The sequence below is a fragment of the Homo sapiens genome, chromosome 4 (assembly GCF_000001405.40).
Source record: "Homo sapiens chromosome 4, GRCh38.p14 Primary Assembly".
In the NCBI taxonomy this organism is placed as follows: domain Eukaryota; kingdom Metazoa; phylum Chordata; class Mammalia; order Primates; family Hominidae; genus Homo; species Homo sapiens.
In genome coordinates this window covers 189,779,259-189,798,527 of record NC_000004.12, presented here as the reverse complement: position 1 = coordinate 189,798,527, position 19,269 = coordinate 189,779,259, and the positions used below count along the sequence as shown (strand labels likewise).

The window sequence follows — 19,269 nt, the reverse complement described above, 5'->3', positions numbered from 1 at the left end:
GTGATGATGAGCATTTTTTCATGTGTTTTTTGGCTGCATAAATGTCTTCTTTTGAGAAGTGTCTGTTCATATCCTTTGCCCACTTTTTGATGGGGTTGTTTGTTTTTTTCTTGTAAATTTGTTTGAGTTCATTGTAGATTCTGGATATTAGCCCTTTGTCAGATGAGTAGGTTGCAAAAATTTTCTCCCATTCTGTAGGTTGCCTGTTCACTCTGATGGTGGTTTCTTTTGCTGTGCGGAAGCTCTTTAGTTTAATTAGATCCCATTTGTCAATTTTGGCTTTTGTTGCCATTGCTTTTGGTGTTTTAGACATGAAGTCCTTACCCATGCCTATGTCCTGAATGGTATTGCCTAGGTTTTCTTCTAGGGTTTTTATGGTTTTAGGTCTAACATGTAACGCAATCCAACATATAAACAGAACCAAAGACAAAAACCACATGATTATCTCAATAGATGCAGAAAAGGCCTTTGACAAAATTCAACAACCCTTCATGCTAAAAACTCTCAATAAATTAGGTATTGATGGGATGTATCTCAAAATAATAAGAGCTATCTATGACAAACCCACAGCCAATATCATACTGAATGGACAAAAACTGGAAGCATTCCCTTTGAAAACTGGCACAAGACAGGGATGCCCTCTCTCACCACTCCTATTCAACATAGTGTTGGAAGTTCTGGCCAGGGCAATCAGGCAGGAGAAGGAAATAAAGAGCATTCAATTAGGAAAAGAGGAAGCCAAATTGTCCCTGTTTGCAGATGACATGATTGTATATCTAGAAAACCCCATCATCTCAGCCCAAAATCTCCTTAAGCTGATAAGCAACTTCAGCAAAGTCTCAGGATACAAAATCAATGTGCAAAAATCACAAGCATTCTTATACACCGTAACAAACAGAGAGCCAAATCATGCATGAACTCCCATTCACAATTGCTTCAAAGAGAATAAAATACCTAGGAATCCAACTTACAAGGGATGTGAAGGACCTCTTCAAGGAGAACTACAAACCACTGCTCAATGAAATAAAAGAGGATACAAAGAAATGGAAGAACATTCCATGCTCATGGGTAGGAAGAATCAATATCGTGAAAATGGCCATACTGCCCAAGGTAATTTATAGATTCAATGCCATCCCCATCAAGCTACCAACGAGTTTCTTCACAGAATTGGAAAAAAATACTTTAAAGTTCATATGGAACCAAAAAAGAACCCGCATCACCAAGTCAATCCTAAGCCAAAAGAACAAAGCTGGAGGCATCATGCTACCTGACTTCAAACTATACTACAAGGCTACAGTAACCAAAACAGCATGGTACTGGTACCAAAACAGAGATATAGACCAATTGAACAGAACAGAGAACTCAGGAATAATGCCGCATATCTACAACCATCTGATCTTTGATAAACCTGACAAAAACAAGCAATGGGTAAAGGATTCCCTATTTAATAAATGGTGCTGGGAAAACTGGCTAGCCATATGTAGAAAGCTGAAACTGGATCCCTTCCTTACACCTTATACAAAAATTAATTCAAGATGGACTATTTCCATATTTCTACAACACATTGAGGTTTAATAGGCTTAAAAATAAGTGAAGGAGAAAAGCTAGCTTTCTTCCTACTGGAGGCTAGTCCAAAGACCATTTCCCAGGCTTTCCATCTTACCAAGAGAAGATACAGATGTAAATGTATTCCAATTTAGCAAGTTTGCTATGCTGTGAAATGTGAGGCTTGAGAGACCTTCCCTGGGAGCCCATCCAAAGGGCTGAGTGACTGTTTTATTAAAGGGGCCTCCTCTCTAAGGTGGTCTTTCGAATAGATTTTGAGACTAGCAAGGCACTATGAGCCTCTTTGTATAAAAGTCTTGGGTTGACACATCTATATTTTTCTGCTTCTAGGCATTAATGGAGACTTGAAAGTTAATCTTTGTCTAATGCAGATAAATACGCAAATGCATATGCCATTAAGCTATATGTCATGCAGGAAGGTTGCCTGTGTGTTTATGAACTTCTCCAGTAGAATTGACTTCTGGTTTTACAAATTAAGAGACGATATGCCTAGTATATATATGTTAAGTCAGGTAGATAAAAGGAAAGCTGAGATTTGTATTTATATATGATTCTCTGTGGTAGAATATTTCTTCTTAACATTTGTTTGGTTAGTATTTAAAATTCTGGATTTGTGCAGTGCTATATTGACAAGTCAATACTCCAAAAAGAGTCATGCGTTATATTAATATTTGTTCAGACAGCACATGAACGCAAGTGCTACAAAAATATTGTCAGAGATTTTTTAAAAGGCTATTTATCTTCATTCATAATTATATGTATGTGCATGCATGACACCAAAGACAAAATTGTAATAACTTCTGCTTGTGAATGCAAATGCCTGGTACTGCTGTGGGAGCATTGGCAAGTGAATACATCAGTGCTAGCACATCCACAATCATTCTTCAGGCAGGGATTCTGCAAAACTAATCACCCAAGGAAACAAACACACCACAAAGAAGTAATTAGGAAGCCTGTGAAATTAGACCTGGTGGGTGGGGGTCCCTGCTGGGAAGGGCCACAGAAGTGACACATAACAGGTCATCTGTTGTTAAACCTGGGAGACAGACCCAAGCTCCGGCCCAGTCTAATTACATCAAACAAGGTGCTATTTGTATTCATTTCTGAAAGACAAACTAAGTTGAGAGTGAAGTATCTTTGTGATATATTCCAGGAGACGGGATGCTGAGGATGCTGGATGTGGGCAAGGACCAAGCTGTGGTCACACCGCTTTCGAGGTCACAGGCAGGCCTGTTTAACACCATAATGAATTCAGGAAGGAATGAAATGAGGCAAAAGGCCTACGCTATGACTGGATGAGCACTGCCTCAAATGTCCCCCAAAGGTGGGGGTTGCAGAGCACAGGAAGCCAAGGGGTGGGGCATGTCTGTGGTTAAACATCTTCCAATTCCCAGCTCTGCCCAGGTAATTCCCTTTCCTTCAGACCTTCTGGTTTTATTTAGTTGGCTGGTTTTACATTACTGTGCTCAGCTGAAGCTTTTGCTAATCTATTCACATTCCCAACACAAGATAAATCCTGCATATTTTTAAAAATGTGTTTAAGACTATAGGCTTATTTCTACCCAGATTATTAAAAAGTCCCTCTCATGATGCTGGTTTGCAGGAGCTCTCTAATCAGGCGCGCTACCTGCTTTCCATCCTGCCTTTTGGGATTTGAGGTGAGGCTCACCCTACCAACCCCACATAGCTCAGAGGGTGCAGCCGTGTGTGCTCTAGAACATTCTGGTTAGGGGTAGGTTAAAGCAGCATTATCATGTCTTTTGGAGCCCACTGGGCTACATTCTAGTCTTGGTTTCTTCTTGGGTGAGCCCATTAGGTCAAAATTTATTTCTAAAGTAAGAGAACAGAACTGGGTACCTTTTAAGCTGCTTCTGGCTTCTGTAATCATGCGAGGATTACAGAAGTACTTAGAAAAACTTTGCATAGTAATACTTTAAGAAGTACAGGACTGGAAGGGCCCTGAGAATCATCTAGTTTCTTTCCCCAGATGGATTTAAATTCTCAAGTTACATAAAGAACTCATCACATTTGAAGGTAACTGGGGAGAGAAATGAATGAGCATTTGTTGAGCATTGGCCATGGGGCAGGCTACTGGGATTCGTAGAACAACACTGCAGGAGGCCGGTTACTCTTGTGGGTGATGGCAGGGAACTTGGGCTTGGAGTTTCACAGGTTGTGGAGCTGGTGAGTGGCAGTGCCTGGATTTGCACCCAGCCTTGTGGACTTCTAGAGTCAGAGCTCTTCACTCTGGTCTACACAACTGCTTTATTATAATTATTTTTGGAGACGGAGTCTCTCTCAGTCACCCAGGCTGGAGTGCAGTGACTCAATCTCAGCTCACTGCAGCCTCCGCCTCCCGGGTTTTAGTGATTCTCCTGCCTCAGCCTCCCAAGTAGCTGGGATTAGAGGGGCCTGCCACCACACCTGGCTAACTTGTATTTTTAGTAGAGATGGGGTTTCACCATGTTGGCCAGCCTGGTCTTGAACTCCTGACGTCAGGTGATTCACCTGCCTCAGCCTCCCAAAGTGCTGGGATTACAGGTGTGAGCCACTGCACCTGGCTCACGCAACCACTTTAAAAAAAGACTAATTTAAATACTTCTCAGTACCAAGAACCCAAGGGTAAAAAAGAGTCATTTGACTGACGATGAAGTGAGGCAAGTTTGAGACTGAGTGTCCCCTTGTACAGATGTAGCTGCTGAGGCATGGAAGCATTAGGATGTGTCCCCGACCGTGGATATGTCAGTGCAGCATCAGGGCTAAGACTCTGGGTGTTCTCTCCTTGACTTACCTCTTTCCACCTAGCTTAGAAGGGTCTTGTCGAGAGAGTCTGATGTGCAGGTGAGATTATGTCTCCAAGTCTAAGACATGGTGGGCCATGTGTGACTGCCAGTTGCCTCTTCTGCACGTGCGTTCTGAGCGTGATCTCACCTGTAAAATGTCCGTAATCCTGGGTACCCCAAGGTGCAGTTGTGAGGCTGCATGGGCTGACGCGTAGGACAGAGAGGGGCTCATTAAATGTTGTTTTCCTCCCTTCCAAATGAGCTGGATTTGGAGGGAAGCAGACTTCCCGAGAATCAGCGGCTTGTCTGTAAGGTAAAGTTATTACGACTGGAAACTGGACACACTAATTTTTTCGTTTGTGTTTGAACTTGGATGGCCTTCACATGGCTGCATTCTGTGTGTCTAGGCTGCGGTCCCTGACTGGGCATTTGCCAAATACAAAGTGATTTTCAAACTAAGTCAACCCCATTGCAATGTGTACTTCAAGGCAACATTTGAAGAAGGTATTGGTTTCAAAAACAAAACAAATCTACACACAAGAGACATACATACGTGTCCTCACTGGACTGTGTAACGTCGCTGACCTGTGAGATAGGACAGCTCTTTCCTGTTCATACTGGCATCCCCATCTCTTTTGACATACCGCAGTGGTAATTGTTTACTGTTATGAATAAACGTTAATAGGCATTTTTCACATTGACAAAAGCGTTTTCTTCAATATATAACAGCTACTGAAAAAGAACAATTAAAATATTTCAATATCACTCCTTGCTTTGAGTCATCCTTGGTGAGATGTAGTTTATCTAAGCAGTCACAAGAGTCATGCAGGGTCCATGACCCAGATGAGGCCTTGCGCACTCAAGACCTCTTGTATTGAGTAAAGTGTCGCCAGCTGCACGCAGCTATGCCCAGAACTCCTCCCAGGTGCGGTAAAGACGGTGCAGGAATCGCCCTTCGCCTGTGTGTCCAGCAGAGGGCAGTAGCGTCCCAGTTTTCCTTTCTGACACGTTTGCTTTTGCATGCTGCGGTTGCATAGCGTTCTGAGGCTCTTGGGTGGCTGACACATAATTGCAGACATTAAGCGTTTCTTAGGAGAGGCATAAAATGTATTGTGAGGGCAGTGAAATCCTTTGTCAAAACTTCTCTGAAGATCTGACCCCATACCGTGACAGTGCAAGGCTTGAACGTATGCCTGTCACTCACCAGCTTGTAGTCTCTTGCGTCCTGTGAACCTCATTGGCCAAATGTTTTTGTGTTGCTTTATTTTGTTCAAGTAACGACAGCACTCTCTGTGATTGTGTTAGGATACAATTTTACCCAACTGTCAATAAATGAATTTTGTCATTTTCATATCAAGTACTTCTGAGATTCCATATTCCCTTGAGCAGCAGAGTATTGGGACTTGATAAGAAGGAAGGAGGTATATGTCCTCTCTTTCCGCCTCTCCAATCATCCTCCTCTCTCTAGATTTTTCCTGGGAGCTGTCTGGCCGTTTGGCTTAAGTGGAAACCACGGATAATTTTCTTTCTTTTAAGAGAAATTAGTTCTCGAAAGGCAGAAAGAAAAATAGAGAATTTTGGTGAAAGCCTTTGGTGAATTCTCTTTGTGTTCTAGGTCAGCCCTGGATCTGGGTGGATGGAAATGCTGTATGTCACTTATCAAAGAGGTTGCTGCTTTATACGGGCCACAAAAACTCTTTATATGGGCAAACTGTAATAAAATGCTATGGGCATAGTAGTTCAGAACCACTAATGCTTATATCTCTTTGGGAAAAGTCATGAAAAATATTGGGAGATGAAAGCAGGGTGTGGTGGACCCCATTTAGTTTGTGCTCTAAGCCCCCTGCTGTTTGTGGTCCGTGCTGGAGCTGACCAGTGGGCAGTCACATTGCAGACCACATCAAATTTTTTTTTAAGTAAAGGGAGAAAAAAATACAATGGACAAAATATATATCCATAGCTTGGAAATGCTTGGAATAACCTGCTGTGCATGGTGGCCCCAACTTAGTGATGCAGTGGCTCTGGGACATCAGAAAGCCCTTGGAGGTCAAGGTTCAGAATTGTGTTCCTCTTGGAGAGTTCTCAGAACAGAAGCTCCTCAGAGTTGGCCATTTTGTTGTCCTTGTAGAGAAAGTGCCAGCACTTAGATCATAGTGAGTCTTCAGTATACGATTGTTGAGAGCATGAATGAATGAATGAATGAAGCACATAGTCATGTTTTAAAAATTAGGACCGTATCAACTGAAGATTATTTTTATTAGATACATATAATCCATATTTTCCCATTAAAAACTGAAATTTTTATTAAAAAATGTATTTTATTCTATTTATTATTTGTACTACTCTTTAAGAAATTATGTGGGTATGGTGACTCATGTCTGTAATCCCAACATTTTGGGAGGCAGAGGTGGAAGAATCACTTGAGGCAAGATATTCGAGACCAGCCTGGGAAACAGTGAGAAAGCCTCTCTAGAAAAAACTTTACAAATTTTCCAGGCATGGTGGCACATGCCTGGAGTCTCACCTACAGGGGAGGCTGAGGCAGGAGGATGGCTTGAGCACAGGAGGACGAGGCTGCAGTGAGTCATGGTTGCAGGACTGCTCTGTATCTTGGGCAACAGAGTGAGACCCTGTCTCCAGAAAAAGAAGACAGAGAGAAAACTGAACTCAAATCTTTATAAAATGGGTGTATTATACTACAAGTTTAGATACAATATACATGTCTAATCATTTCCTAGCATGCTAGGTATAGCGAGGTAAACAAAGAAACTGGGAGACAGAGTCCTTGCCCTTGAATTGTGCAATGTAATGGGGAGATGATGCCAGCCCACGTGAAAGTCCTAAGAAGGGGTAAGATGGCGTATTACTCAGGCTAGAGTTCTCCTTGGACGCTGAAGTAGAGCTTGCCTATGCCTGTTGGAACACCTGTCATACTCTGGAAATTATTTACCTGGGTATCCTGTCTTGCCTGTTAGAGGAATAAGCTATTGAGAAGCAGGGAGCCTGTCTTACATATGTGAACAGCCTTCACCGGGCCTGGGCAATAGTCGCAAGGCAGTAAATACTGGCTGAGTAAAGGAGCAGAGGCCAAGTGCTGGAGATGAGCCTGGCATTTGCCTGTAGGTGTAGGGTGGAGAGGAGATGTGGCTTGGTAAGAAATCCTGCTGACTGGAGAAGGGAGTTGGTGTGGAGAGTAGCAGAAGTGAGTGTGTGGCAGCTGATGGGTGTTGCCATCAAGGTAATCAGGGAGGAGCCTGGATGAGATGTGGCAGCAACAGGGAGCCGTGTGAGGAGGAGCACGGCACAAAGGCAGTGTTCCAGGTGATGAGCTTGGCTGTGATGCAGTGTGAGTTGCCGGGGGTGACGGAAACTGAACAGAACTGCAAAGCAATAGAATTTGACAATACAAATGCTTCTAAATCAGCTATTTTTTAACCTAAAATGATGGATATACATGAATAATTTATTGGTCCACATGGTTTCATAGAGATGGTTCTTTTTCAATAGAAGAGAAAAAAATTATTCCTAAAAGAGCACAATAAAATCCGCAAAGACGCTTTGAAACAATGAGGAGCTTATTCCTTTTGCATGTTCCAAGCAGATTTTTATTACTTAATGAATCATAATTTCAGTAATAAACAAGGGGGTAATAAATGACAACCATTAACAAGTAATGAATAGACCTATATGGAATATGGGAGAACCTCAGTTTGAAGCAAGAGATGGTTATTCCAACAGGATGATGGTGAATGTTCAGGGGAGCATCCCTTCGATGTACAAATGGTCTCACTAGGTTTGCAGAAGGCACCTTCACCCGGGAAGGTTGTGCACAGCAAGCCTCAGATGGTGTGACTTCACCGAGTCAGCTGGCTTGTGACCATCCACGTGGTGTTGCCCCAAAGAAGCAAAGCACCAGTGACCGTGGGTTACGTCCCGAAATAAGCTTCCAGTGGGGCTGCTCTTGAAGCCAGCAGTTGGGGACTTTATGGAAAGACATGTGTTGGTTGGCAGGGGTTTTTGGTTTAGCCTTTTCACCTCATTTGTAAATGTGAAAAAAATAATTATCATCCAGGTTATATGCGAGGCCCGTTCATTCTTTAAGTTCAATTCAAATAATCCATCCCAGCTCAGTTTTCTCTCTGCTCCCTGGACTCCACTCCGCTGTAGTGTTGAGGATTTTGTTTATTTATAATGACGCTATTTTATTTTCAGCACATCACAAGTTAGTAGCTACTTATATGTCCTTCCCTGTCCACTAGACTCTGATTTTCTTGAAGGAGAGGGACACATTTCATCATCATTATATTCGCATCTTCAGGACAATGGCTCTGGGGAGAGATGAGTTAACTCTTGACTGAAGACAGCTCGGTGTGGTGGCTGGAACCTCAGCTTTAGGCTGTGACGGATCTGCATTTGAGTCCGGTCTAGACAAGCTGTGAGAATTGAAGCACACTACTTAAGCTTTCTGAGCCTTTTCTCCTCTTAATAACGAGGATAAAGATACATACCACCCAGCATTGAAAAAGAATCAGAAGAGACAATGTAGGCCATTGTGAAGACTGGAGCCACTATTATGATCTCCGACTGCACCTGAGCCCTCCAGGCTGCACAGAAATCCTGTTTCCTTGATAGCATCTCTTTCCATTCACAACAGCAGCCTTATATGCTCACTTACCCGTTGGTTGTTTACAATCAGTTGACACCTATGTATTTAAAACTCATCTGTCCAAAGTTGAACTCATCCTCAGCACGTACCATTTCTTGTGTGCCCTGAAAGTTAGTAAATGAAATCACCATCCACCCGGCAGGCCAATCCACACACTTGGAGTTTGTCCTTGACTTCCTCCTCCGCTGTGCCCTCCACACCTCTTTAACCACGAAATTCCATCAGTACAGCACCAACTCCTCACCTTTTCTGCCCCAGCCCGGGCCACCAACATTCTCGCCTTGTTTCTTATGATAATCTGTTCATGGTCATCCTGCCTCCACAACCTCATTCCCCTCTGATCCACTCATAGTTGTAGCACACAAATGTGGTGAGGTCCCTGACCACCATCCCTGGCCGGGTGTATCTGTGTAACTGCGTTTTTATCACGGCACCTGCCACGGTGCATCAGGAGGTGTTGGAATCCTTCCTACTCTGTAAACTCCCTGGGTGGGGGGGCGCGTCATGTTGGCCTTGACCCCACTGTCAAGAAGCTAAGTGGAAGGCAGGCATGACACAAATATTTGGGAAAGAAGAAGAAACGAAGCAGCCAGCACTGCTAGTGGGGCGTAGCATCTTCTTTCCTGCTCCTCCTTATTCTTCCTTCTTTTCTCCCTTCTCTTTTCTGTCCCCTTTTCTCTTTTCTCTCCTAGTTATTACAGTTTTGGGTTGTCATCGCCATCATTGTATCATCCTCATCATCACCGAGGATCACCTATGATGACCTCTATTGTGAAAAGAAAAGAAAATCTCAGGACCCTAAACTCACTATGCTGAAGGGAAAAGTTGAACTTGGAAACTGAGTCATGTAAAAAAAAACCCCGCCTTTCCTTTTGTTCCTAAACAGACAGCTAGAGAAAGAAGGCCACGTGTCTCCCCAGGGGGCCTCCCTCACCTTGACAAAGTAAACTAACAGCTTATCTTCATGGTACTGGACAAGAGGAGACGAGGCACAGTCCCTCCGCCCACCTGAGATGAATGCATATTTGTCTTCTTCCTCTACTCCGTGTTTATTTTATCTCACATAAAGTGCAGATTTACTCAGCACGAGGTGAATACATAATCGATTGTTCCTCTACCTCCTCCTTGTCACGTGTGACATGTAGGTTCACTGACTGCTAATCGAAGCCTCAAAAAATGTGACTATACCTTCCCTCTCTTTTTTTCCCTTCTTTGCCGCCTGCCTACTTTATCCCTTTAAATACTGAAGCCCTCAAAATCCTCTTTGAAAAAAAGTGCTGGCCACAGACCAGTTGTGACTTGTGTCTCTTTTCCCCAGGCACGTCCTCAACCTTGGCAAAGTAAGCCTCTAAATGGATTCACACCCGTCTCAGACATTGTTTTTGTTTTGTTTTGTTTTGTTTTTTGAGTTCACCATCATAGCAGGGGATTGCTAGCAACAGTTAGGACCTGGAGGGGAGACCAGAAGAAGAGGCCGCTGGGCACGGGTGAAAGCAGTTCAGAAGACTTGGGGGAGAGGAAGACACCCAGGACCTCGTCAGCCTCCTGCCTCCCCCTTTTTTTGGGCGGCTTCTTTTGGAGGAGAGTAGCGAGTGTTCTCCTCAGAATGATCTGCCCGGGCATCAGCCTGCCGTTCCTAATGGAAACAGAAACGTTAACTCTTACTCTAGTGGTGGAGCCCCTTGGACTCCATCTGCAGTTCTCTCGAGGCCAGGATTCTGAATGAGCGAGATGAACTTTAATCTTCACTTCTTGTACTTTGGTTCTTATTTTCTGCCTCAGTGTCTTCTTCTCTTTGTTCATGGAGTCCCAGTACTCTCATGTCTGGAAACCTATCACCCTGATTACATAGAGATGAGATGATGAAATTGTCAGCAACTTGCTGAAAGTCACATGCCTGTGTCCTCAGAACAGGCACTGAGCTGTGGGTTCTCTGGATGACAGAATAGTCTTTTCCACATTAACTTAACCGGTGAGGACCCACTGGCTGGAAAACGTTAAGTTTGGAAACAGGCAAAGTGAGATTGTGCGTGTGTGTGTGTGCACGTGCGAGCATGTGTGTGTTTGCAAGTGTGTGTAATTGTGTGTGCGTGTAAGTGTGTGCAAGCAAGTGTGCATGTGAGTGTGTGAGTGTATGCGTGAGCGTGTGTGGGTGTGTGTGTGTGGAGTGTGTGAGAGTGTGAGTGTGTGAGTCTGTGGGAGTGTGTGAGTGCGTGTGAGTGTGTGAGTGTGTGTGAGTGTGTGAGTGTGGGAGTGTGTGAGTGTGTGTGTGTTGGGGATCGGTGGTGAGCAAGTGTCTTTTGTTGTCCATTCCTTTCTCACTGCCTCCTGCCTTACTCTCCTTACTCTCCTTACACATCCTTACTCTCTGCTTCCATTCCCTCTTCTCACTATTCAAGTTCTTCCGTTCTCTCCCTGTATTATGTTCTCCCCATAATTGCCGTCTTCACTCTTCCCCAAATCTCTATCCCCTTAATTTGTCCTTTCTTAGTTCTCCCTCCCCAGATTTATTCTGAAGGTTCAATGGACCCCTAAAAAATATGAAATACTGCATTTTAAGGGACATTAAAGGTATGTAATTTTGATTAATTTACACTGTAGCCAGTTATGTGAGAACTATTTGATGTCCAATGAGCCTTTGAAAAGTCTTAAAGTTTTTTCTGAAATTTTAACATTACATTTGTTGAGGAAAACTAACTCAAACACTTTAAGATCAATTTCTTCTTGGGAACTGTATTTCTTTGCTCACTAAAGGGTCTGCACGCCTATCTTTGCAGTTATAGAAGCTGCAAGAATTGAACACTGAGAATTGAGAGGGGAGAGAAATTCTGTTGTACGTTCCCACATCCTGTTCTTGAGGGGCTGTGGCAGGTTTGGAAGGGCAACAGTGTGAACACAGATTGAATTAAATACACTGGTGTCAGGGTGGGGTCGGGCAAAGGCAGGATCTAGTCAGCATGAGTCTGGATAGGCAGGATTTCTGGACGGAGGTCTATGGGACCAGAGTTTTTGCGGAGCAATGGGTAGAGGTTGAGCCTGGTGGAGCTTGGAGTCAAGCTCTGGGTGTGGAGGTCTGAGGCTCCCTTGTGGGAACAGGAGCTCCTGCTGCCCTGTTACTGTGGGGAGCTCACGTCTTCCTCCACCCCTCTATTTCTGAGATGGGACTTTTGAAAGGGCCAGGCATAGAAAAAGGCACAACTCTAGATCTTGTGGGAGTGTCCAAGTCTTTATTTATGGTGCATTATTCATTGTCTGTGGGGATGACCACACCGCTTGTGAAACTGCGGCTCCTCGGGAGCTGATCCTGCAGTTGCCTCTCTCTTTAGCATTCCACCTTCTGCGGTCTAATGCTTTCTGGGAACAAGGAGAGAGGACAGTGGCAGCAAGCCCTTTTCCTCTTTCCATCTAGGTCCCCCCAGGCAGGAGATTAAGATATGGGCTCAGTGAGATATCAGATCATTGAAGTTAGATGGCACAGGGCCATTGGTAAAAGCCCGAGGCCTGCCTCCTACATCTCTCAGGCTAGATAGTCTGGACTGTAAATTTTTATATGGTTTTCGTTTATATAGTTTAGAGAGTAAGATCAGAAATTACGGAGCCAGTTTTCTCCAACCACTTGTGACTGTGCCCTTGGGCATGCTATTTTACCTCTCTGTTCCTCAGCTTCTTAAACTTTAAAGTGGGCACACAGTAGTGTAAAAGCAAACACACAGTAGTTTCAGCTATTGTATTTATTGCACCAACAGCTGTGGGTGCAGTTCCATGTCTCAGCTGACAGAGGTGAGGAAGTCTTCCCGAAATATGACTACAGGTAGAGGCTGTTGGGAAAGCCGTGCTTTGAGGCCTGTGTGGTAAATCAGGTGCATTAGATTAATTACCTAATCTGTGGTAGATGAAGGCTGAGCACCTGTTTCCTCCTTTGGTTGCATCTTCCTGGACTGTAGCGGCTGCAGAGCCGAAAACTACGTTTCCCAGATACCCTTCTGCCTGAGTTTCTGGATGCAAATTGGCCTCACCAATCAGATTCTCTTAGGTACGGACTGCAAGTCAGAACAGAGAAGGAGGTGTCCTCCTGCTGGCAGGCTCTGCGGTGGGGAAGGAGGGTCTTTCTGTAGCCCTGTGCAGTGTCTGGCCACCAGCTTGGGTGGGTATAGAAGGCAGTTGTCTCTGGATTCCTGCCTTCCTGACTGGGCCATCCCTCTGGATGGCTCTGCAGGGTTGCTGGGGGTCCTTCCTGGAGACTCAGCCCAGAGGTCACTCCTCCTTTCAGTGTCATTAGCACCCAATCTTTACACTCCCTTCTGCAGGGTAGGCAGTAATTTCTGCTTTTTACAACATAACCTTGATAACCTTGATATTTAAGTCTATGGAAAGCTAAAGGACTTTTCTGAGGCAATCTTTTCTGATTTTCCAAGGCAGGTAGGTCACACTCCTTAGCTGTACAGTCTCATTGGATTCCCCACTTGCTAGAACTTTCCTAGGCTTCCTCATTTATCAGCTCATGCTATGAGGACTCTTAGTCCTTGTAAGGTGTGTCTAGGGATTTTCCTGTGTCTCACTTAATAGATTTTTCTCAGGTTGACTACAGGAGGGAGATTTGACTATCAATAGTGGTATTGGTGAGCCCAGTAACTATGTGATGGGACCTGGATATGATGCAATCAGTCAGTCTGACAATGGGGAGATTAAGGTCCAATTGTTCTGCAGATACCACACCTGGCATCCTGTCTAATGTAGACTCTCTCTGTTAGGTGCACAAGTGAACTTATAGCATGGCAAATGAGAAATTATTTCAGTTGGGCCCATAGTTTTGTCTGCATATGTTAATAAGATATTTGATTCAATGTCAACTTAGATCTTGAGAGGTAGAAAAGAGATTCTGCCAGAAGGTCAAATGAGCTGATATCTATGATTGCAAATCCAGCTGAGGATGAAAATACTGGATGAAATGTGAAAGGTAACTCCCATTGTGGGGATCTTGTATAACAGAACAAGGTGGGCACAGCTGTGTGGGTTCGTTGCTGGCTTGGATAAGCTGATGCTCAATGCCGAGAGGATGGTTCTTTCTCCACAGTGCATGTCAGTGGTAAGTTCAGTAGTTCAATTGCACAAGCTAAGCAATTAGCACATATTTTTTAGAAGTTATTTTTGTTTATTTTCATTTTTAAACGTCTATTTCTGAATATGCAAAATCTAAGCTCAGTGGAAGTAACTTGCATAAAACAGACACCCCCATAAGTGTTAAAAAACCAACCACGGGTCCTAGAGGAGGGAAGGTTGAAGGTGGAGAACTGTGGTATGAAATTCAGGGAGAATCTCCACAAAGTTCCAGGTGCTGTGTGCTCCTTGTTGGAGAACAGATGAGTGTTTTCAGGAGACAGGGAGGATTTAGTGCCCAAGAATTGCAGTCGGGCACAGTGGGGTGTGGTGGGGAGTTGCCAGGACCAGGCTTAGCTGAGGGCAGGAGAGACTGCTGGAAACCATAGCTATGAGCATATCCCGTTGAACAGCAAGTTTTGGTGCATGTGGCCAGCCAGCAGGAGAGAGGGCCAGGGAGCAGTGAGGCGGACTCTGGAAGCTGCAGGGAGGCGGGCTCTGGAAGCTGCAGCGAGGCGGGCTCTGGAAGCTGAGGTGGCTCCACATTCTGCTGTCTGTGCCCTACCATTTTTATTTGAGCCAGTTTAATTTTTTTTCAACTAAGTCTCCCTCCCTATCTTCTTCCTCCTTCTCTCCCTTTCTTCTCTTCCTTACCCTTTTTCTTCTGACCTCCATTTAGTTTTAATTCTTTTTTTTTTTAAAGTTGCATATGTATAGTGTGAAGAATTAAATAATTCCATAGGGTCTGTTGTGCAGAATAGTAATCTGCTATCCTCCTCTTCCATTACATCTTTTCCAGAGGAAATATAATAGCTTTAAACTTTACTGCCTTTTTTTTCTTTTTTTTGGTGTTTGCCTCTATATTTTAAAATAGCGTGCTTTTATTGCTACTTTTCAAGAAATTTTCAATTTCAGGCATTATTTATGGAAGCGAGGGCTTTCCTTTCTTTCCTCCTCCCTCTGCCACAAGCATCCTCCCCATTGGTTACACTTTTGGTTAGATCAATATTCATTGTTTTCATTTATTTTGACTTTTGTAACTGTCACTCAGTGCTGAGCCTGTGGCAAATTATGATTGCTTTTCCTTTCCTATATGACTTTTTGTCTTTTCTGGACTAATAGCTGTTTTTTTCATTGTTTATGTCTGTATGTTTTGATTACTAATTTAACTCCAAACTCCCTGCTAGTTGTCCAAATCTCCTTTCTCAAATTTCCCAGACATTAGGTGTTCTGAGACTTCTGTCTTCTTGAGTAAACCTTTTCCAGAAACTTTGGGCCTGATTCAATGCAGGGTTCTTGCTTTCAGGCCCCACGCTCAGCTGTATGTTCCTGGACTTTCCCTCCACCATCACTGTAGGGATTCCCTTCTCACTTTGCTCCTCTGTTTCCTTGCTTGAGCCTTCCTCTGATTTCGAATACCTCCTTGTTTTGGGGATGCACCTCCTCCAGGAGCTTGCTGGTACAGAATGCATGGGACTCTATCTGTCAGGATTCAGAGGGCAAGCTCTAGTAAGAAACTTCAAGAAGCATTTAATAAAGGGATGGTTTACAAAGATGTGGAAGGCTGAAGAAACTTGGGGCCAGTACGAGCAAAAGTCTTTTTCCATACCTAGGTTTGGGGTCATGGGAAGGAAGCAGTTACTGGGATCTGCAGACAAAAATATATTTGAAGGTAGCAATCAACCCACATTGGTCTTGCGGGAATTTTCTCATTTTGCTCATTTTGGAACTCCTACCAGACAATGATCATCCTGCACTGATGGCCTTTTCTTCTTTATTTTATATAATTTAGAAATTTTGCCCTATTTCCTGTGAGGTTTATTCAGTTCTTTTTTCTAAACTTCTATAGTTTCTTGTGGGGAGGCAACATTTTACTATCGTATTTTACATTTCCAAGAGCTTGCTTCAGTCCTCTCAATGTTCATTTTTAATAACATCTTGTTCTTGTTTCATGATTGCACTATTTCCTCTTACTTTTCTGAGCATAGTAATAATCTTTTTGAGGGAAACATTGTATTCTCTCTAAATAGTTTTTCTATAGTATCCTCCAAAATGTGTTTAGCATGCTTTTGTGTTTATTTTTTCTTTCCTTCAGGTCAGTGATGTTTTTTTCAGATGGTTAGATTTCCTTGTATCTCTGGTCGTATTTAAAAGTAGAAGATGAAGAAGCTGATTGGAAGCCCTGAGCACATTTGTGGGTTGCTATATGGGCTCTGATGTAGGATGATCTGGTTGAGCCATTGTACTGGGGAATCCTTGATGGTTATACTGGTTATACTGGTTGTACTGGGGAATCCTTGATGTTAGTGACTTTTGTCTCTTCTCTTGGGCGGAACAGAGTCCTCAGAGAAAACCTTACAATCTTCTGCAGAGGGTGAACGTCTAGCAATGATCTGGGAACTAAAGGGAAGAAGATTGCTGGGGTCGAAGGAGGGCCTCAGCATCCAGGATCCAGTTTCACTTCATCTTCCCTTTTCAACATAACCATCTCTGACGACATCTTGAACATTTACATTTATCTTCTCAAATGACTAGCCTTCCATTTTCTTGCTAGAGTGTGGATCTGGAAGTCTATCTGTTTTTAAAGTGGCTACCAAGCCGTCCTTCACCTTCATTCTACTTCCAGCACCTCAGGGTTCCCTGCTGAACCTCTGGGAATCTCATGGCTCAAATCCAACTGGCCACTGGCTTCCTTACTGCTGGTTGAGTGAGGAGTCATCTTTCTTTGGTCCACCAAGTCAGTTACCACCTGCCTTTCTGCCTTCTAATTATGGTTTCTTTGATCTTTCTCCATATCCTTACAGGTCTAGGACCTAAAAAAATTACTTTTATGGTGTGTTAGTGGAGTTCTGTGAGGGTGTGTAGAGCTAAATGTTGAAATTTTAGTCTCTTTCCTAAGGCAATTCCCCATTCCTAGAAGAAGACAGCTACATGGTCCCTCACCAGAAAGGCTGCTTTCTCCTGTATGAATTGGGCTCCAGCTGGAGATTGGCTGGTCTGTGGGCTGGTGAAAAATCAGGCTTTTATTCATGGCTGTGTTGTTCCTCTGAAGCTCATTTTGCCTTCTGGAGACCCAGCAACAGGGCCATGTTCTGAACAATGGTGCTGTCTTTTCCTTTTTGCAGTACACTATCCTCCATTTCTGTGACCGCATGCAACTCTAGCCAGTCCCTAGCTCAGATAACCTGAATGGAGGCCACACCTCCCTGAGGTCCCTGGGGCTCATTTTCTGAAGGGCATCACCGGGACTGGAACTCCCAGATCATCTCCTATGTCCCATCCTGTGCCCCAGTCTTTTAATGAACCTTCAGATGATATATTTAAGAGATTTAATCATGGATTACTGCATTATACCATAAAACCTTTTTGCTTCCATGCAGTAACTTTCTGATGCCTGTAGCTCTACGAGTAACAAAGATGGTATATTCAGGCAGTATTTTTGTCTGTGAGGTTTCCCGCAAGTATCTCTGTTTAGCCAACCCAGGGACAACATCCTGTGGCTTTGTTTTCCTTTGGGAGCTAAACTGGCTCATTTTATCAGGGGTGAAGCAAGATAAACCTTAGGAATAAATAGTTTTGTGTCAAAAGTTGCTGCCTTGAAAATTTGTTTCCACAGGGTGTCAATGTGCTGATATTCCAATCTTGCAGAAATCGACTGGATTTAGTGGAATTAAAGTCAACTGGAAGACGATCTGTGGGGATAATTCCATGATTCAAAGCCTTCAGGGAAAACGTGTTTGCTCAGCTGCAGTGATTGAAAAATTGAAGGCAATGAGAGTCATATGTTATGCTTGGTTATGTCCTGCTCTGATGCCAGTTTGGAGTAAAGGCTGAACTTTGCTGTTGAAAGCCACTGTGGAAAGTGGAAACATTGACTGTGCGTTGCTGAGGGGAGGAATGTATTTACTTACCCAGAAATAGACGCATCCTTGTCTCAGTGGGCTGGGAGATAGTATCAATCCTTTCTGTTGCAACAGATCCCACTGCCTTCTTTTTTCAAAAGAGTAAATATTTAAATAGGTAATACAGAAAAGTTATTGCCATTTTTCCTTCATCAGCCATGGCTGGGAGTCAAAAGAGAGAGTGAGGCAGAACTCACACATGGGGAAATAATATTGTGGACGTTATATATAATCCTTTTAAAGTAACGGCATTAGACTTCGTGATTTGCAATTGGCCAAATTGAGAAAACTTTTCTCAAAAAGCCATTTTAAGATAAAAAATTATGAATTTTCTTAAGCCCTGTGATTAGAGTGTAACACGTATTTATGGTCCCCCCAGGCACCACCCAATAAAAATGGTTAAAACCTTTAGTACTTTTAGTAGTTCACAGTTTTATGGCCAAAGTTATTTTGTAGATTTTATGCTTAAAGCAAGGTCAATGTATTGCACTGTATAAATTATTCTAAGTAATTGCTCAGTTATTTTATAGCTTAGTCACAGGATTTTTTCATTATTAAACGTAGCCTTTTCTTTAAAGTTAGGATGAGAAGGGCACGATAAATCACAGAGCAGCTTGCCATTGGGGTTTCAGCTTTACCTGTGATAAGGGTTTAATAACAATCTGGCCCAGACACCAGCTCCCTCTCAATTACCTTTCCACATGGGCATTAGTTCACACTGTTTATTAAAAACTCCCCTTGTAGTTCTTAAATGGAGTGTTTCAGATTAATGGCCCCCACGGAGTTTAACTTCATTGCACTTCATTAAAGCTAGATTGTACAAAAGGTTACTTCAATTAAATCCAGAATGCGACCTTAAATCTGTATAGATTTTTTTCAGAAAATGTGATAAAATTGCTCTGCCAATCCTTCAAGATTAACAAGACAAAATCCCTTTCAGTAACCAAAGTACAAAAATTTGTGTGCCTGTTCTGAGTTTTCCTCTGGCTGTACAACTGGATTTTATAGAATTAGAGGACAACTCGTGGAAAGAGCCTGGAGTTACAAATGGATCAAGTTACCGGAGAGCTGAGCCCCAGTGTGAGGCTGGAGAGTTTGGGAGACCTTTTGTTCCCCTTGAGTGGATGCTGTACATTTGGTGCTTTAGAAAAAAAAATATTTTGCTTCCCATATAATAAAAATATTTTTCTAAATAGATTGGTCTGTGTCTTTTCAAAAAAAAAAAGTGACGTAAAATCTTCTGAGGTTTTCTTCC

General features: G+C 43.1%; 2 long non-coding RNA genes across 2 annotated transcripts in view; both read left to right on the top strand.

The window, feature by feature from the left end:
* Positions 1-19,269, top strand: part of FRG1-DT (FRG1 divergent transcript) — a 176,343-nt gene that overhangs the window by 142,206 nt on the left and 14,868 nt on the right. The window lies entirely within an intron of this gene.
* LOC124900882 (uncharacterized) lies at positions 10,923-19,209 on the top strand. Its single transcript, XR_007058516.1, has 2 exons — positions 10,923-10,987; positions 11,507-19,209. It is a non-coding gene; the product is annotated as an uncharacterized LOC124900882 (long non-coding RNA).